The sequence below is a fragment of the Homo sapiens genome, chromosome 18, assembly GCF_000001405.40.
Source record: "Homo sapiens chromosome 18, GRCh38.p14 Primary Assembly".
In the NCBI taxonomy this organism is placed as follows: Eukaryota; Metazoa; Chordata; class Mammalia; order Primates; family Hominidae; genus Homo; species Homo sapiens.
This window is the reverse complement of record NC_000018.10, coordinates 36,822,079-36,842,667: the sequence shown is the minus strand read 5'-3', so window position 1 is coordinate 36,842,667 and position 20,589 is coordinate 36,822,079. Positions and strand designations below refer to the sequence as shown.

At 39.8% G+C, this 20,589-nt stretch overlaps 2 protein-coding genes across 35 annotated transcripts in view, besides 3 other annotated features; one reads left to right on the top strand and one right to left on the bottom strand.

Moving 5' to 3' along the window:
* KIAA1328 overlaps positions 1-13,541 on the bottom strand; it is a 403,046-nt gene extending 389,505 nt beyond the window's left edge. For 11 of the 19 annotated variants that reach the window (NR_136303.3, NR_136304.2, NR_136305.2 and 8 more), the window contains exons 1-3: positions 13,472-13,541; positions 8,313-8,348; positions 7,292-7,434 (exon numbers count right to left, since the gene is read on the bottom strand). Coding sequence is in view for 14 of the 19 variants with exons in the window: in XM_005258315.6 (XP_005258372.3) it covers positions 7,292-7,434; positions 8,313-8,348; positions 13,472-13,529 (237 nt within the window). In the remaining 5 variants the exon portion in view is untranslated. The other 8 variants (XM_047437677.1, XM_047437679.1, XM_047437680.1 and 5 more) reach the window with 7 other exon arrangements.
* Positions 13,304-14,096: an enhancer, noted in NCBI's record as "H3K27ac hESC enhancer chr18:34408535-34409327 (GRCh37/hg19 assembly coordinates)". NCBI's record gives its function as "activates a minimal SCP1, AML or CMV promoter by ChIP-STARR-seq in naive H9 embryonic stem cells {active_cell/tissue: H9 hESC(naive)}" and the evidence as "EXISTENCE:reporter gene assay evidence [ECO:0000049][PMID:30033119]".
* Positions 13,307-13,906: a silencer, noted in NCBI's record as "silent region_9406". NCBI's record gives its function as "represses an Ori minimal core promoter by ATAC-STARR-seq in GM12878 lymphoblastoid cells {active_cell/tissue: GM12878}" and the evidence as "EXISTENCE:reporter gene assay evidence [ECO:0000049][PMID:35858748]".
* Positions 13,666-20,589, top strand: part of TPGS2 (tubulin polyglutamylase complex subunit 2) — a 48,979-nt gene continuing 42,055 nt past the window's right edge. For 14 of the 16 annotated variants that reach the window (XR_007066143.1, XR_007066142.1, XM_017025702.3 and 11 more), the window contains exon 1: positions 13,666-13,985. Coding sequence is in view for 12 of the 16 variants with exons in the window: in XM_017025702.3 (XP_016881191.1) it covers positions 13,901-13,985 (85 nt within the window). In the remaining 4 variants the exon portion in view is untranslated. Of the gene's footprint in view, positions 13,986-18,796; positions 18,866-20,589 lie in introns of all 16 variants that reach the window. The other 2 variants (XM_011525917.4, NM_001271952.2) reach the window with 1 other exon arrangement.
* Positions 14,197-14,306: an enhancer, noted in NCBI's record as "active region_13243". NCBI's record gives its function as "activates an Ori minimal core promoter by ATAC-STARR-seq in GM12878 lymphoblastoid cells {active_cell/tissue: GM12878}" and the evidence as "EXISTENCE:reporter gene assay evidence [ECO:0000049][PMID:35858748]".

Sequence of the window (20,589 nt, the reverse complement as noted above, 5' to 3'; positions counted from 1 at the left end):
TTAGTGGCATTGTGTTAACAACAGCAAAAATCTGAAAAGGCAAATGTCTATTAACTACAGAATAGTAAAACTGTGGCTGGCATATTGATACAATGAAATTCTAGAGGTACTGGTAGCTATGATACTAACTTTCCCCCTCAAAACTACCCTTCCACCCTCTGCTTTGAGATGCTAAGTCTAAGACTCTGGAAACACCATTTCTCCTTCGCCACCTGGCACTCTGTTGAACTCTGCCAACACAAAGAACTAGATGAAGACCAGGAAGAAAGAAGGAAGGCTACTTCCTTCCTGTTACTGACAGTGTCACCCCTGAGTTCCTTACCCTGGCAAGTACTGCTGATTCCAGTTTGCAATTTTTTCCAGCCCTTACAGAACCAGCCTTTATCAGGCCTCCTCAGAAATGGCAGTACCAGCCGGGTTGGTGTCCCATCACCAGAGGTCCAAGTTGCAGCTTTAAGGGGCCCCTCCTCTAAGCTTCTAAGTTTCAATAATTCCGACTTATTCTGCCCTCTCATCCAGTTCTAGAGATTGTGGTTGTTTCTTATAGTTACTACTTTCATGATACTTTAATGTTCCCTTTTTGCCTTTTTGGTTCTCGCACTATTCAATAATTTTTCTTTTAAATATTCTAAGTTAAAATAACTGACTAAACCCCGAGACGGTGAAAAGAAATGAAATATAACTACATACAACATAAAGAAATCTCACGTAACATTGGAAGAGCCATAGAGGGAAAAAAAAACAAGAAATCTCATAAACATAATATGAAATAAAAAGCAAATCACACAATACAAATGGATATGAGCTCATTTATATAAAGTTCCAAATATATATGAAATACTGTTTCAAAAAAAATGTATTTACACTGTAGGACAGGGCTTGGTAAACCATGGCTGCAAGCCGAATCTGGCCCACTGGCTGTTTTTGTAAACAAAGGTTTATTAAAACGTGCTCATTCATTTGCATATTGCTTATGGCTCTTTTAATGCTACTGTGGCAGAGTTGAGTTGTTGAGACAGATGTTACAGCCTGCAAAAGTTAAAGTATTTACTACCTGTCCAATTTATAGAAAAAGTCGGCGAACCCCGATATGGAAAAACAAAAGAATTATAAAGTTCAGGATACGAATTACCAAAGAAGAAAACATGATGAGGAAAGGCCACATATCTACAGTCACTTGACTTACAACAATGGTATCATTGCAATTCAAAGAAGAAAAGAATCCTCTTCCCAGTAGATGGTGTTGGGCCAATACTGACAGTCTATTGACCCAATACTGGCAGTCTATGGGCCCAACACCATCTATTGGGAAGAGGATTCTTTTCTCTCTGAATTGCAGTGAATCTTACTTTACACTACATGTGCATATTACTTCCTGATGAATAGTAGGCTTAACTGTAAAAAATAAAGCAATATGGCCACAAAAGAGAGAGGGAACTTGCTGCAGAGTATAATCAGCTAACAGCCTCCAGTTGCCAAACCTTTGGGATCCACTGCACTGTTCATACCAACACCAATGACTGGGAACAGTAGAGACACTAGAACTGAGCTATTTCTGATCCAAATGGCATCCTCAAAAGGCAGTATTTGCTCTGGGGTTCCTCACTAGCAAAAAGGACACTTATCTCAGATTGCATGGCAATCTGAAGTCTGAGGTTCTTCCTAGTCAATCTTCCTTCTTTTCCTCTCCTGTCACAGGTGCCAGACTGTAGTGAAATCTGAAGATTCCTGCTCATTCTACTCTTTATGCTTTATAAGCTTTTCCTTCATTAAATCTCTTCCATTTCTAATTCCATCTCGCGGTCTGCTTCCCAGAAGACTTGAACTGACCTAATTACCACTGTGAAATCCTTAATGAATTAAGGATACTCAACATCAATACCAACAAAGACTACACAGAGAAAAAAATCACAAGATGGCTGGGCACAGTGGCTCATGCCTATAATCCCAGCACTTTCGGAGGCCGAGGTGGGTGGATCACGAGGTCAGGAGTTCAAGACCAGCCTGGTCAACATAGTGAAACCCCATCTCTGTTTATACAAAAATCATCTGGGCATGGTAGTGCGTTCCTGTAATCCCAGCTAGTTGAGAGGCTGAGGCATGAGAATTTCTTGAACCAGAACCCAGGAGGCAGAGGTTGCAGTGAGCCGAGACCATGCCACTGTACCTGGGCTACAGAGCCAGACTCTGTCAAAAAAAAAAAAAAAAATCACAAGACATGCTCTTCAATGGAAAAAAGGAAAAGAAAAAGCAAACCACCATTTCTAGTTTTAAGAAAAAGCACACATAGACACATATACCCCCGACAATGTAGGACATCCTCTTCTAGCCCAGATGGAGTAACAGGGACCAGATTTACCCTAGTTTCAGAAAACAAAACAAAACAAAAACCTGACAAAAAAACAGGAAACAATAGTTTTCATTGGATAGCAGGCAACACAGAATGATCACTGGAATTGCAGAAACAAACAAGGCGAGCCCTACAACTGTCCCAGCTAACTGCTGTGGAGAGTTTTCAGGGCTAAGGTAGGTAAATCCAGACAGAGCCCAGCAATCTCCCTGAGTTGAAAAGATACAGCTGGGAGTCCAGGAAAGCCAAGGTTTCTAGTGTTTGCAGAAACACTAGAAACCTTGCAGGGCAAAGTAATGCCAAGGATAGAGCTGCATAGGAGAGCTCCAGGGATCTGCAGAATCCCTTCGCGTCAACTACTGAGCACTGACCAGCATATGTATGTGAGAAAACTACTCATCCCGGGGAAAGAGCCCAAAATGAACAGTGGAAACAATTTCTGTAGCTAATACAGCATAGGAGAACAGTCTGTTCCCACCAGCCAGAGGGGAAAACCTTGTAATTTAAGGGGCATCAGGAAGAGTATTCAAAAGAGTATGGCCTACAATGGGCAAAATTACCCCTATACTAAAAGCTGCTCTGGCACCACCTTTAAAAGCTCAAAATGAAGCTTGGAAAGAATCAAATTGCTTCCAAATAATTTATCACTGTCTCAGAACCCAAAAAGGCAAAATGCATACTGTCTTGTGACATCCAATAAAAGACAACCAAGCAGGCAAAGAAGCAGAAAAATACAGCCTATAATTAGGAGAAAAATTGCTCAATTGAAACCTATCCACAAATGACTTGGATGATAGAATTCATAGTCAAGAATATTGAAACAGTTATTATAACTATGTTCCATATGTTCAAGAACCTAGAAGAAAGCATGTCAAGTAGCGACATGGAAGATGTAAACAAAAATAAGAGACTGAAACTGAACTTCTAAAGATAAAACTACATTGTTTCATATGAAAAACACACTGGATGAGATTAGTGGCAGATTAGACATTGCAGAAGGTTAATGAATTTGAAGACATAGCAACAGCAATACAAACTATCCAAGGATAAACAAAAAAATTTTTTAATGAAAAAAATATGAACAGAGGATCAGAGAGCTGAGAGGGTAACTTCAAGAGGCCTAGTATTTGTGCAACTAAGGTCACTAGAAAGAGAGGGAAACAAAAATATCTGGAGAAACAATGGCTGAAACATTTCCCAATTTGATGAAAACTATAAACCCACAGTCCCAAAAAGCTCAACAAACCTCAAACAAAAGAGATACTTTAAAAATTACTCCAAGGTAGGATGGGCATGGTGGCTCACACCTGTAATCCCAGCACTTTGGGAGGCCGAGGCGGGCAGATAATGAGGTCAGGAGTTCGAGACCAGCCTGACCAACATGGTGAAACCCCATCTCTACTAAAAATACAAAAATTAGCCGGGTGTGGCGGTGCACGCCCGTAATCCCAGCTACTCAGGAGGCTGAGGTAGGAGAATCACTTGAACCTGGGAAGCGGAGGTTGCAGTAAACCAAGATCGTGCCACTGCACTCTAGCCTGGGCGACACAGCAACTCTGCACCTCAAAAAAAAAAATTACTCCAGGGTATACTATAACCAAATTGCTCAAAACCAGTGATAAGAAGAAAATCTTAAAAGCAGCCATATTTAAACACATACACACAGAAAAATAAGGAGGAATAAAAATGACAGCCAACTTCTTAAAAACAATACAAGCCAGGCAACAGTGCAGCAACATCTTTAAAGCACTGAATGAATAAAACTATCAACTCAGAATTTTATAACCAGCAAAAATATCTTTTGAAAAGGAAAGAGAAATAAAGACTTTTCAGACATACGTGAGCTGAAAAAATTCTTTCCTAGCATACCTGAACTAATGTTAAAGGAAGTCTTTTAGGAAATCTGGATACACGTGAAAGAATGAAAACACCAGAAATGGTAACTACATGAGTAGATTTAAAAGACTTCTGTTGCATTTGTAAAATTTCTTTAAAAGGCAATTAAAATAAAATGCATCCAAAATGGAATAAAGGCATCCAATAAGAATATGTGAACTATCTCTATTCACAGACAACTTCATCTTATATAGAGAAAATGGTAAGGAATTCACAAAAGAACTATTAGATTAGAAATAGTTTGATAAAGTTGCAGGATACAAGATCAATTCACAAATCAACTGAATTTCTATATACTAGCAATAAACAATCCAACAGTGAAATTCAGAAACAACTGTGTTTCTAATAACATCAAAAAGTATAAAACATTTGCTGATTCTATAATGCCTATGGAAACACTGGGACCCAAAATAGCCAAAACAATCTTGAAAAAGAAGAAGTTGGAGGACTTATACTTCCTAATTCCAAAAATAAAAATATAAATCAATGGAACAGAATACAGAGAGTCCAAAAATAAACCCTTACACTTATGGTCAACAGATATTTGACAAGGGTGCCAAGAAATTCAAAGGGGAAAGGACAGTTTTTTTAACAAATGGTGCTGGGACAACTGGATATCTACATGCAAAGGAATAAAGTTAAACTACCACCTCACCCCATATACAAAAATTAACTCAAAATGGAATGAGAACTAAATGTAGGAGTAAAACCTTTAAAATTCTTAGAAAAAAAATAGGCACAAATATTTGTGACCTTGGATTAGGCAACAATTTCTCAGATATGACACCAAAGCAAAGGAGACAGAAGAAAACACTAGATAAACTGAACTTCATCAAAATTTTAAACTTCTGTGCTTCAAAGAACACCAATAAAAAAGTGAAAAGGCAATGCATAGAATGAGAAAAAATATTAGCAAATAATGTATCTGATAAGGGACTTGTAAATGGAATTTAGAAAGAACTCATAACTTAACAGTACTAAGACAAATAACTCAGTTAAAAAAGGATATGACTAGATATTTGTCTGACGAAGATACACAAATAGCCAAGAAGCACATAAAAACATGCTCATCATCATTTAGTCATTAAGGAAATGCAAATCAAAATCACATTGAATTACCACTTCACACCCACTAGGGTGGCCATCCTCAAAAAAGATGGACATAAATGTTGGCAAGAATGTGGAGAAATCTGAATCCTCATACATTGCTAGTCGAATGTAACATGGTGTAACCACTTTAAAAAACAGTTTGGAATTTTGTCAAAAGGTTAAACATAAAACTACACGACACAGCAATTCACTTATAGGTATATACACAAGAGAACTGAAAATATATGTCTACACAAAAACTTGTATATGAATGATCATGGAAGAATTATTCATAATAGCTAGAAAGTTGAACATGTCCATTGACTGATAAATGGATAAACAAAATGTATATTCAGACATAAAAAGGAATGAAGTAATGATACAGAATAGATGAACCTTGAAATCATTATGCTAAATCAAAGAAGCCAGTCACAAAAGGCCACATATTATGTGATTTCCTTTTATATGCAACATCAATAACAAGCAAATCTATAGAGACTGAAAGCAGATTAGTGTTTGCTAGGGGCTGAGATGACTGGGGAATGAGAAGTGCCTAATTGGTATGGGGTTTCTTTCTAGAGTGATAAAAATGTTTCGAAACTAGATTGTGGTGATGGATCCACAACTCTGTGAATATAAACACATACAAAATCAAAATAATAAACTGTACACTTTAAAAAGGTGAATTTTATATGCAAATTATATCTCAATTTGAAAAAAAAGAGAGTTGACTAAAGCAAATGTAATATGTATTTTGGGGTCTGTGCACATAAGTAAAATGTATGACAACAATATCAAAAAAGTCAGGAGGTGAGAAATAAAGTACAGTGTTGAAAGGTCCTTAAACTATAGGTAATGTGGGAAAATATCACTTGATAATAGGCTATGATAAATGAAAGATGTATACTATAATCTCTAAAGAAGCCACTGAAATAATCCAATCAAAAGTTATAGCCAATAGGACAAAAATATGAACTTAATCTAAAAGAAGGCTATTGTTCAATGTAAAACAAATCAACCATTATGTGAAAAAACATTTTTTAACTTTTTTTGATAAGAACTTGCAAATTCAACTATTCACACCCCAGTGTGAAGTGGGTACACTGGTACAAGTAACGTAAAGTAGGCCTTTTGATTCAATCACAGTAAAATCCTGTAGTAATAAATGAGGCACTGGAAATATCTTTGAGAACATAATTCACAGACTGAAAAAAGTTTTCTATAAAAGGTCTGATAGTAAATGTTTTTAGCTTGTGGGCATGCAGTCTCTGTAGCAACCCTGCTATTGTAACACAAAAGCAACCATAGACAATTATGTAAAACAATGAGCACAGCTGTATTCCAAAAAACCTTTATTTATAAAACAGGCAGAAGGATTTGGTCCACAGGTTATAGATTCCAGAACATTCATATACAAGTTTTGTGTAGACATCCTAGTGAGTGTGAAGTGGTATTGAACAACTCTGGTTGCAGAGGGAAAATATAACAAAAATTAAAGTAAAATAAACTGGTCAGATAGGACATGTGCCAAAGGAATGCACCGATACTATTACTATGCCTAGTCATTGATTTGTCCCTCATCTTTACGAGGGTTCATCTATCAAATAAATTCACAAGAATAAAAATCAAAAAGGATGCCTAATTAAAAAGCAATTCTCATCAGTTTGATTTACCAATGCCACACAGATCAGAATGTAGTTCTTTTGAGACATATCAAGATAATACATTATCATGGCTAATGCTTACAGCAAGTCAGATGTTTTGGAGCAAAACCCTTGAGTAATCCAGATAATTTAGGCTCAAACCTGGCATCATCAAAGGATCCTGGAATCCTCTGTATCTTTTAAGAATGTTTGTTGATCACCTAGTATACTTTCAAAGGTTCTTCTACCCTTTTTGGTCAGCACTCATAAAGACTGGAGAGCAAGGAAAAAAAAAGACGAAAAAAATACTAACCTGTTCATCTACTGAATCTCCTGTGCCTTTTAAGGACTCCATGGAGATTGAAGCATCAGTCACCCTGGAAGTCTTAAGTTTAACATCAGCTTTTGGACTCATCAGCTTGTGTCTTGATCTGACATTTCCTTCAGCAGAAATTCCTAAGGATTTCCATTAAACAAGATTTCAAAATTATACCTTATTATCTTAAACCCTCCCCCATCAACTCCTTCCTTGGAATCCTCTACTTTAAGGGACCTGATGGAGGAAACTCTCTTACTTTATAAACTTAATTTTAAAGCTCTTAATATATGAATCATAAAAAGAATATGTTTTAAAGAAATACACTAAAGATTGAATTGAAATTTGTTTTTATATTTATTTTTTTAAAGAGACAGGGTCTTCCTATGTCTATCCAGGCTGGACTTGAACTCCTGGGCTCAAGCAATCCTCCCACCTCAGCCTCTGGAGTAGCTGGAACTACAGGATCAAGCAACCACATCCAGCTTAACTGAAATATTTGTAAAGGGTACTGTAAATATTCATAAGTCACATTAAAACCAATAAATTACGATATGCCAAATATATGTTAACTTAGGGGAAATCAATGATATTTTTCACCCTATATAATGAGGGTGCCTTCAATAGTTGCTTTACTACCATCTAGTTACAACCATTAAACTTGAAGTGCCTCTTACATATACCCTGTATCAAGCAGTAGTCACACTTTTATTTGAAATATTAAATTTGGCTATCATTTGTAAAAGAAAAAATAAGAAAAGAATCTTTTGCCCCTTGCCACATGAAGTGTTCTACAAGTTCATTAAAAGCTGATTGGGCCAGCCAATCCCAAAGATAAGCCAGTATTTCAAACCTTAATAGGGTTATGACAAATATTCAAAAAAAACAAATTTTAGGTTTTGATGTACTGCTCTGCATTCAGTTATTTATACCCGCAACATTGTTCTAATAGCTTTATTTTCTTCTAACATTTAAGGACCAAAGTAAGCTTCCCAAATTTTAACATAGAAAATCATACCTGGAACGTATACTACTGATTGTTCTTCATCAGAAACTACGCAGGAGAACATGAAGGAAAATACAATAATATTATCCGGCATCCAAATGCTGCTTCTGTTCTGTATACCTCTTATAATTCATAATTTCTTTTGACCTGGGAATTTGTAACTAACTTTTAAAAACAAAGTTAGAAAGCAAAGTAATTGAATTAAAAACAAAGTTAGAAAGCAAAGTAATTGAATTAAATGTAGCAAAATTAATATTCTCTAAAAGTTCACCTTTATATATTCACAACTACACATCTTATAAAAATCTTGGAAGGTCTTGTTCCATGAAACTTTTATCCACTCTCAAGTGGGTTACCCTGCAATATATACTCTACTATTAGGTTCCTTTCCTTTTGTAAACAAAAACTTAAGTGCTCCAGTTTGGTCATTACTGAGGAACTGACAATTCTGAAGAGTAAATAATTTCAAGATAGACTTTAGCTTTGAAGAACAAACACTGAGGGCAAGTCAATCATGCAAACACAAAGACATTATTTATTCTTCTACAGTGTATTCATAAAATATCCCAAGAAGCCCTACTATTTAAAAAGTAGAAGAAATTTAAGACAAAAAGAACTATTTTGAATTTCAAAAGGAGAAATTTAGAAAGGCTATGATTATAACACACTGTTTTCAACTGTCACCTTGATCCAACTCAACTTTTCCTCTCCCAGGATTATTGCAATAAGCTCCTAACTGCTCTCTGTCACTTCTGTGCATGTTCCCTTAACAGCCTATTTTTTCACACAGTGGTTAGAATGATCATTTTAATAGTTATGTCATTTCTAATTTAGATTAAAAGCCAAAGTATTAACAACAGCCTGCAATGCTCAAGATCTGATCCCTGTAACTTGTTACATCTCTGATCTCACTTGCTACTATTCCTCTCACTCATTCCTGGCTTTCTTATAATTGTTAACAAGCTATGCAAGCTCCTACCTTATAGCTTCTGCAGGTATGATTTCTTCTACCCAGGAAGCTCTTTCCTCAAATATCTTCATGGCTCACTTTAGGACTTATGTCATATGTCATGTCATGTCACCTTCTGATTGAAGCTTTCACTTCCTAACCATATAGGTACTTGAAATTGCAAAACTCTCTCTTCCCACAACCTACCTACCTCCCGCTACTATCTGCCTCTTTCCTGCTTTATTTTTTCTCCACAGCACCAATATCATTGAACATAGGCCAGGTGCAGTGGCTCACGTCTGTAATCCCAGCACTTTGGGAGGCCGAGGTGGGCATATCACGAGGTCAGAAAATCGAGATCATCCTGGCTAACACGGTGAAACCCTGTCTCTACTAAAAATGTAAAAAAAAAAAATTAGCCGGGCATGGTGGCGGGTGCCTGTAGTCCCAGCTACTCCAGAGGTTGAGGCAGGAGAATGGTGTGAACCCAGAAGGCGGAGCTTGCAGTGAGCTGAGATGGCACCACTGCACTCCAGCCTGGGCAACAGACCGAGACTCTGACTCAAAAAAAAAAAAAAAAATCATTGAACATATATTTTCCTTATTCATGACCTGATCTCATCTCACTAAAATGTAGGCACCAAGAGGGTAATGATTTTTGTTTTATTTTGTTCAGTGTTGTACCCTCAAACATAAAAGAATGTCTGGCTCCATCTATGAAAGAATAAAATTGGTATTGATTTAATTTTATGAGGTGTTGTCCAACAACCTTATATGTTATATTTCTGTGATTCTAAATATGCAAACAAAACTTTTTTTTTTTTTTTTTTTTGAGACAGAGTCTCGCTCTGCCACCCAGGCTGGAGTGCAGCGGTTTGATCTCAGCTCACTGCAACCTCCACCTCCTAGGTCAAGCAATTCTCTGCCTCAGCCTCCCGAGTAGCTGGGATTACAGGTGCCCGCCGCCACACCTGGCTAATTTTTTTTGTAGTTTTAGTAGAGACGGCCGTTTCATCATGTTGGCCAGACTGGTTTTGAACTCCTGACCTTGTGATCCACCTGCTTTGGCCTCCCAAAATGCTGGGATTACAGGTGTGAGCCACCGCAAGCGGCCAACAAAACCTTTTACTTTCAGCTACATCCATGACAAATTTATTTTCAAATATATAAAACTCTAAACAAACTACTTCAATATTTTTAATAACAATATTTGAAATTGCCTCTATCCTTTCTAATAATTTGTAATGTATTTTCATCTCATTATATTAAGAACCCAAATATTTACCTCCTTCAAATCTAGAATTTCCCAACAAATGTATATTTTATGGGGAAGTCAAACAGACACATTATATACCAAATGTATAGTGGGCCTACTAGTGGGTCATTTCTAGATTATTTATAATACCTAAAACAATGTACATGCTATATAAATAGTAGTTAAATTGTACAGTTTAATTTGTATTTTTTTGTGTGCTATTTCTTTTTTTTCTCAAATATTTTCCATCCACATTTGAATGAATCAGCAGATACAGAGGGCTAACTGTAATTAGAAACCCAGGCAGAAGTGGTAGAGAGGAAGATGCACCTCTATCCCAGACCTCCAGGATTTGAAGGAAATAAGTTCAGTACTGCCCATTCTACTCTAATCTGCTGAGTTTTGCCAGCAATACATGTATATGTAATTATTATCAACCACAGAGACTTTCTGGGCTAATATATTATTTTTACCACAACATACAGTCTTTGTTTCCATTTGAAAACTCAACAGCAGAGATTATACTGCAATGTTTTGACCAGGTCACTTGCAGTTCATATTTTTTAATATCAAGTCCATGATATTGCTAATGGTAATACACTTGAGTGCATTTAAGCAGTCAAATTTAGGTACTGCTGAAACACTAACTCATTCTGACATTACTAGGAACTGTAATGAAGGACAAAGGCAACTTAAACTGAAGGAGCATATTTTGCTGGAAGATTTAACCCATAACATGACAACACCACACACTCATTGTTTACAGATGAGGTACTAAAACGTTCCTTGTGCAAAACAGCACTGCTGAATCATACTGTGCAGGAGATGTATAACTCACAACAACAACAATAAAAAAAAAAGGTGCCATTGAGTCACAGATGATCTGTCCTCTCATGATGGAAACATCAAGGACTAAGAAATCTCTCCATCACATTTCTCTAAATGTTTAGGTGAAGTATTGAAAATCTTTTTTCAATAGTGTGAAAAGAATACCAGATTATAGGTACTTACTTTTTGGTCTTTTTCTATTGAAAATTCTACTATAAAGGCTCTAGGGTGGTCTGGGAAATAATCAATATGACAAAGGAATCAAGATGCAAAGACATGTAACTAAATCAAATGATTAATAACTATCATTATGCTTTTCAGCAAATATTCAGTAACAAATTTACATTTGACATTGCTTACAGTGACATTCTCTATGGAGATTTAAAATGAAAATATCTGAGGCTCGATGTTAACTGGTCATTACGTGGAATAGTCTGAGGGGAAAGGTGACACTAGCAACTTTGCAATTCCTTTCATACATCTGAATTAGATCTTATAGGATATAATCGCCACCATTTTTCCCCTGTACAATTTCAATTCCTCACTATCTATGAGAGGACGAATATTTTACATTAAATGTTGGGAGTCAGAATACAAGAGATAACGGAGTATATATGACTTCTACATAAAATAGGGGGTGATATAACTACATGAGTAAGTGAAAGTACTGGGTGCGAAGACCAAGAGCTTAGGTTCAGTCCATATATCTATTAATACACTTATTCAGTCCCATTGCAATAGCTTGTCCCCCCCCCAAACCATTGATTCTATATTTGAACAGTACCATAGGATGCTATAAGCTAATAACCTTCAAGTATCTCCTCCATCACAAAATTATGTCAATGCAGAAGCAGTGTTTCTTGAGAAAAGACTTATCCCAATTTCCTAACTTCCTAATTCAGCCCAGTTGTCCACAGTGCACATATTCTCTTCTGAAAGGTAAAGGAAAAAATATTTAATTTGCACACTGCACTAGTATGCTTTCATCCACAGTGTATGTACATGATTTCATTTGCTTTTCACCAACCTATCAGAGACAAATGGTAATTATGTCTAGTAAGTGCAAACACTAAACACGAGCAGCACAGAATACAAACATATCCCTCTCTCTACACATGACACTAATCCTAGTAACTCAACAAAGGAGTTGATAACACAGTTTTGTAAGTTTCACTGGGAGCTAAGAAGAATGCCCAGTGATTCTGCCAAAGGTAACAGCAACGCCTCAATTAATGCCATCACCAATCCTAGCAAACACAAAAAGAGCTGCCTCTGCAAGCACTCAGTAACACAGATTGCCGTCCCTCTTTCAAGTAACCCCTCTAAGGAACGTGAAGTAAATTATCAGGACCAAAGCTCAAGCGAGAAGAGTCTACCTACTCCAAGGAAAGAAACACTCCTGTCACACAAACATCTCATCACTGCTGCTGAACTGGTAATACTACCACTGGACTAAAAAGTTCCACTGCTTCTCCACCTCACAACGATCCAAGAACTTCAATGACTGCCAGTGACCCGCACTCCACAAGTAAGTCAACAATACTTCCAGGCACAATGATTCCCATCTTACGCAGTAACCAGCACCACCAGACCACATCCCAGTAACCAAGCTCCACACCTCTCCTAAAACCCCAGTATTAAAATACATCATCACTGGAGGGCCTTTTAAGTCCGAAAGGTCCTGACTTGCTCCTAGCAATGCAGACTAAAGACAATCCTAAATCAAAACAAAAAGGCTCCCTGTCCAGCCAACACCGACTCCTCCCTCAACTTCGAGCTAGCTCCGCACACTCAAGTCAGCCTGGGGGCACTCTGACAGGGTGGGCAGAGGGACCTCGGAGGGCCATCTCAGCCCTGGACTGAGCCTGGACTCAAGGCTATCTTTCTCGAGCTCACCGGTAGTGAGCGCTGGGAAGCATCTGAGCCGTGTCCCCACACCTGCAGACAGTACCAGTCTCTCGGCCACCTAACACCCAAGCAAGGGGAGAGCCCAGCACCTAGACTGGGGCCGAGCAGCACGTCCCCATCCCCGGGGTTAGTTCGGAGCTTCTCCTCCGCTCTCGGACTGCCACGCGACGGCTCGCCCCTCGCCGTCCCGTGGAGGGCGCCGGCGCCCCCTGTCAGGCGGGCAAAGGATACAGTCCCGGCTCCAGAACGCCGCGGCACTGGGGCGGGAGGGGCCCGCCACGTCCGCCATCTTGAAACAACCGCCACTCGGGGCGTCGCGCCTGGGCCGCCACGCCTCGGCCTGCAGGCTCGGTCCCCATTGGCCGCACCACGCAGAGGCCCGCCCCCGCCTGCGCGGCCGGCCCCTGCGGGGCGAGAGGGTGGGGGCGAAGGGGAAGCTACGTCCCGGAGGTGCGGTGTGGGGCACCGGGCGGGGCCGCGGGAACCGGCGCCCCACGGAGCTGCTGCTGTCAGACCAACCCCGGGCCCCCATCATCACTGCGCCGCGCTTTCAGGCGCCGAGAACTACCGTTCCCGGCATGCCATGAAATTGGCCTCGGCGCTGAGGCGGGGTCCGGCCCTCCACCCGCTCCCGCCGCGCGCGAATCGCGGTCGCGAGCCATGGAGGAGGAGGCATCGTCCCCGGGGCTGGGCTGCAGCAAGCCGCACCTGGAGAAGCTGACCCTGGGCATCACGCGCATCCTAGGTGAGGAAAGGGGGCACGGTGCCGAGAGGGTGTGGAGGAGAAGGAAGGAGGAGCGGAGGGATGAGGTGCGGGGTGAGCGGTGCGACGCTGGCCCCAGAACAGGAGTGGACATCGCTGCTGGGACTTCCGTTGTTACAGAGGAAAGTGGGGGACCTGGGTTTGTGATTAGGCCTTGAAAGTGTTTGCCAGGAGTGTTCGGAGGCAGAGCTGGGAAGCCTGAAGTTTCCCCCACTCACCGCCAACCAAGGTCCCACCCAGGAAGGACGGGCAGAGACGTGCAAAGGGAACACAGCAAGCACCTGACGGTTGGGAAGTTGGATCTCCCCCTAGGAGGCATTCTCAGCCAGGGCATTATCCCCGAAACCCAAGACCTTTCTCTGGGGGAAGTAATGCACCCGACCTCCCAGGGCGACAACTACGTCGGGTCTGAAAGGAATCCAACCTTGCACCACTGAATGACTCAGAGTTTTTCTTTTATCGAACATTTCTTTGTTTGCTTGCTTGTTTGTATTTTGAGACAGAGTTTTGCTCTTGTTGCCCAGGCTGGAGTGCAATGGCGCGATCTCGGCTCACTGCAACCTGCGCCTCCTGGGTTCAAGCAATTCTCCTGCCTCGCCCAGCTATTTTTTTGTATTTTTAGTAGAGACAGGGTTCCACCATGTTGGCCAGGCTGGTCTCGAACTCCTGACCTCAGGTGATCCACCCGCCTCGACCTCCCAAAGTGCTGGAATTACAGGCGTGAGCCACCGCGCCTGGCCTATCAAACGTTTCTTTAGTACTCACCACTATGTTAGACGTGAGGTTAAAAATATGAAAAAGACACAGTTCTGTGAAAAAAATAAACAAATGAGGTCACTAGGAGTGTGAAAAGAGGTCAGTAATCTGTTACTCAGAGATGTCACAGAGGAGGGGACTGATCTTACCAGGGAAGTTAAAGAACATGTCACAGAGGAGATGATGCTAGATTTTGAAAGACATATAGGAGTTAGCCAGAAAACTAAGGAGGAGAAAGGTCTTTTAAGAAGGCTGAAAAGCATGCTTCAGTGCCTTCCCATCACAATTATAATAAAATCCAAATGTCTGTACCATGACCCACAAGTCCCTGTAAGATCTGCTCTCATCTCTTTCTGACTTTGTTTCCACTCTTGCCCACATGGCCTTCTAGCTGTACCTTAAACACACTAAGCGGGTTCCTGCTTCAGGGCTTTTGCAGTTTGCTAGTCCTTGCACCTGGAATTATCTTTCTCTGAATGTCTCGCTTCTTCAGGTCATTCAGATCTCTGATCAAATGTCATTATTTCAGAGAAACCTTCCCTGAATATAGTTCGAATAACCGCCGTCTTTCTTGCTCTCTCTTTCCTTACCCTGCTTTTTCTTTTATTCTTATAGCACTTTCACTACTTGAAATTATGTATTTGTTTGGTTGATTTTTAAAATTTGTGTCTCTTTTAATAGAAGTCCAAGACCAAGTGTGATTTAGGAATGAGTGGTTTTAACATATGAAAATCAATTAATAGCTGGGCATGGTGGCCCATGTCTTTAGTTCCAGCTACTGGGGAGGCTGTGGTGGGAGGGTTATTAGAGCCCAGTTCAAGTCCAGCTGGACAACATAGCAAGACCCTGTCACTAAAAAAAAAGAAACTTAAAAAAAATCAATTAATATAATACAACTTACTAATAGAATAAGACAAAAACTGCATAATCATCTTAATAAAAAAAGCATTTGACAAAATCTAACCTTTCTTGATTAAAAAAAACTCAACAAACTAGAAATAGGATGGGATAGAGATAGAATTTCCTCAACCTGATGAAGGACATCTATGAAAAACCCACATCTAACATCATATGTAATGGTGAAAGACTGGCAGCTTTCCCCTTAAAATCAGGAACAAAAATTGTATTAGGGTTCCCCAAGATCACACCAGATTCAATGATTTGACGCAAGGATTACAGGACTCAGGAGATAGTCCTACTCATGGCTATGATTCATTACAACAAAAGGATTTTGGCAGCCCGATTGGCAGACCTTTCTGAGGATTATTGTCTCGGGCCTGCTATGTTCACTCTTTTCTGCATGGCAAGAATTCCACTTTTATCACTTCTCTTCAACATTGTACTGGAGTTTCTAGCTAGGGCAATTAGGCAAGAAAATGAAATAAAGACATCCAATTGAAAAGGAAGAAGGTAAGCTATCTGTTTGCAGATGACATGATCTTGTATATAAAAAATCCTAAGGAATCCACACACACACACACACACACACACACACACACACACAGCCTATACACCAGCAATGAACAATCCAAAAATAAAACTAAGAACAATTCAATTTACAATAGTATTGAAAAGAATAAAATGTAGCTGGCACAGTGGCTCACACCTGTAATCCCAACACTGGGAGGCCAAGGTGAGAGGATTGCTTGAGACCAGGAGTTGCAGACCAGCCTGGGCAACATAGCCTTTATGAAATATTTTAAAATTAGCCATGTGTGGTGGTGCATGCCTTAGTCCTAGCTACTCAGGAGGCTGAGATAGGAGGATTGCTTGAGCCCAGGAGTTCGAGGCTACAGTGACCTGTGATCACACCACAGCACTCCAGCCCGGGCAACAAGAGTGAGACCCTATCTCAAAAAAAATAAAAGAATAAAATAGGAATAAATTAACACAAGATGTCCATGACTTATGTACTGAAAATTACATAAGACTGTGGAAAGAAATTAAAGAAGACCAAAATAAATGAGAAGACATACCATGTTTATGGATTGGAAGAGTTAATATTGTTAAAATCTGTTACTCCCCAAATTGATCTACAAATCTCACATCTCCAGTTCCCATCAAAATCTCAACTGTCTCTTTTGTAGAAATCAGGAAGCTAATTTAATCCTAAAATATAATATAGAAATGCAAGAGACCCAGAGTAGCCAAGATAAACTTTTCTTTCCAAAACAGGAAAAAAGTTCCTCTTACTCACATTTCCCTATACTATATTTGAGATGATGGAAAAGTTCTGGTGATGGTTGTACAACAGTGTGAATGTACTTTATGCCACTTAACTGTACACTTAAAATTGACTAAAATGATGATTTTATGTTATGTGTATTTTAATACAATTTAAAAAATTTAAAGCCACAGTTGTCTTCAGAGTGGTAGTGGCATAAAACTAGAAATGTAGATCAATGAAATAAGATTGAGAGTCCAAAAATAAACATCATATTTATGATTCATTGATTTTTTTTTTTTTTTTTTTTTTGGAGACGGAGTCTCGCTCTGTCGCCCAGGCTGGAGTGCAGTGGTGTGCTCTTCACTCGCTGCAAGCTCCGCCTCCCGGGTTCTAGCCATTCTCCTGCCTCATCCTCCCGGGCAGCTGGGACTCCAGGCGCCCACCACCACGCCTGGCTAATTTTTTGTATTTTTAGTAGAGACAGGGTTTCACCATGTTAGCCAGGATGGTCTCGATCTCCTGACCTCATGATCCACCTGCCTCGGCCTCCCAAAGTGCTGGGATTACAGGTGTGAGCCACCGTGCCCGGCCTGATTCATTGATTTTTGACAAATATGTTAAGACTTCTCAATGGGAAAAAATAGTTTTTCAACAAATGGTTCTGGATTTCCACATGTAAAATAATGAAATTGGACCTCTACCTCAAATTATATACAAAAATTAACTCCAAAAGTATCTTAGACCTAAATGTAAGAGCCAAAACCATAAGACTCTTGGAAGAAAACAGGCCTTAGGTTCCTTTTTTAAGTGACATTGAGTTAGGCACTGGATTCTTACATATCACAAAAGCATAAGCAACAAAAGAAAAATAGATAAATTGGGTTTAATCAAAATTTAAAATGTTTGTGCTTTTAAGGATATAGTCAAGAAAGTGACAAAACAATCCAAAAAATAGGAGAGGATATTTGTAAATCATATATATGAAAAGGAACTTACAGATCTGCAAAGAACTCTTACAACTCAAAAAAAGACAAATAATTCAATTTTAAAGGATCAGGGTAGACATTTCTCCAGAGATACACAAATGGCCAGTGAGCACACATAAAGATGATTATCACCATTAGCCATTAGGGAAATACAAATCAAAACCATAATGAGATTTCACTTCACACCCACTAGGATGGCTATAGTCAAAAAGACAGATACAGCAATTGTTGGTGAGGATATGAAGATATCATACACTGCTGGTGGGGATGTAAAATGTAAAATGGTACGGCAGCTTTGAAAACTAGTCTGGCACTTCCTCAAAAGATTGGAGTTACTGTATGGCCCAGCAATTCCATTTCTGGATTCCCTTTCTGGATTTCATTTCTCCAAGAGAAATGAAAAGATATTTACATGAAAACACTTGCATACAAATGTTCATAGCTGCATTATTCATAATTGTCAAAAGTGCAAACAAGCCAACATCCATCAGTTGATGAACGTGATATATAAAATGTGATATATCCATATAACAAAAAAATTCATCCATAAAAAGGAGTGAAGTACTGATCCTACAACATGGATGATCTTGAAATGAAAGTGAGAGAAGCCAGTTGCAAAAGCCACATGTATGATTCCATTTATATGAAATGTCCAGAAGAGACCAATCTATAGAAACTGAAAGTAGATTAGTGGTTGCCAGAGGCTGGTAGGAGAGGGGACTGCTAATATAATAGGTATGGGTTTCTTTTGGGGGAAAGGATGCATAACTCTGAATATAAAAATCACTTTATAAATTATGGTATGCGAATTATGTCTCAGTAAAGCTATTTTTAAAAAGGAATTCTAAACACGGTACTATTAGAATTCCTACTCTAATCCACAGGACTGTGAAGATGATGAGATACCACACCTTGATTATGTTACATTAAATGGCAAAAGCAAGATTATCCAGGTAGGCCCAATCTAATCACATAAGCCCTTTAAAACAAGCTGTTGGCCGGGCGCGGTGGCTCACGCCTGTAATCCCAGCACTTTGGGAGGCCGAGGCGGGCAGATCACGAGGTCAGGAGATCGAGACCATCCTGGCTAACACGGTGAAGCCCCGTCTCTACTAAAAATACAAAAAATTAGCCGGGCGTGGTAGCGGGCGCCTGTAGTCCCAGCTACTCGGGAGGCTGAGGCAGGAGAATGGCGTGAACCCGGGAGGCGGAGCTTGCAGTGAGCCGAGATCGCGCCACTGCACTCCAGCCTGGGCGACAGAGCGAGACTCCGTCTCAAAAAAAAAAAAAAAAAACAAGCTGTTAACAAGGAAGTCAGAGAGATTTGAGGTAGGAAAAGAATCTGTTACGCTGTTGCTGACTTGAAGATGCATGGGACCTTTTAACAAGGAATGTAGGTGGCCTCTGCAAGCCGAGAGTGGCCCCAGCTGACAGCAAGCAAGGAAATGGAAGCTTCAGTCCTGCAACCAAAAGGAATTGAATTCTGTCAGTAACAGGAATGAGTTTCCAAGATGACCCCAAGCTCCAGATGAAAATAGAACAGCTAAAATACCTATCAGCACACCTGGTGTAAGGAAAGACCAGTGATTTCAGCCTAAGTAGAGAAGCCAGTCATGCCGTGCCAGGCTTGTGAGCTACAGAACCATGACTTAATAAAAGGGTGTTGTTTAAAGCTGCTAATTCATGGTAATTTATTACTCAGCAATATAAAACATTCCCCCAAATGTTTGAAAGAAAAGAGCAAATGCTATGCACGTCAAAAAGAAACACAAGTGTAATATAGCACATGTAATTATGGACTATTATTATAGAGTTTAGACCAAACATAACTGTCATAACATAAATATAAATGGTCATGGCTGGGCACTGCGGCTCATGCCTGTAATCACAGTGCTTTGGGAGGCCATGGTGGGAAAATCACTTGAGGCCAGGAGTTCAAGACAAGCCTGGGCAACATAGTGAGACCCCTGTCTCTACAAAAAAAAATTTTTTAATTAGTCCAGTGTGGTGGTGTGCACCTGTAGTCCCAGCTACTTGGGAGGCTAAGATGGGAGGATCACTTGAGCCCAGAAGTTCGAGGCTGAAGTGAGCTATGATTACACCACTGCACTCCAGCCTGGGTGACAGCAAGACCCTGTCTCTTAAGTATATACACATAGGTTTATGTCACCTATTAATAGAAAAAGATTTAAACCTGACTCACAAAACCGTTATTTGCTATTTTCAAAAACATACCTAAATCAAACTAAATCAAATGTTAAATATAAAAAGATGGATGCATGTTTCTGGGATCCCACAACCACCCACACTTTTAGATCCACCAGATCCACTGCAAGGACTCACAGGACTCAGAAACAGTTTTAGTCCCAAGTATAATTTATTACACTGATTAGCAGGGGGAAAAGACATAGTTAGAATCTAGAGGAATCCATGCACAGGCTTCTGAAGTGTTCCCTCTTGTCAGTGGTCACATAGAATACACTTCTTCCTTAAATAGTGAAATTCAACAATATATTTGCAGTGTTTCTTCCCCGGAAAGCCTATTTAAGCCTCAACTTCCAGGGGTTTATTGAATGCTGGTCACGTTGGCAAAACAACCAGTCACAGCTCTCAAAATTTCAGCCTCCTAGAAGGATAGCTGTGGAATCAAAAATTGTTACTGCTTTTGCTGCTGCCG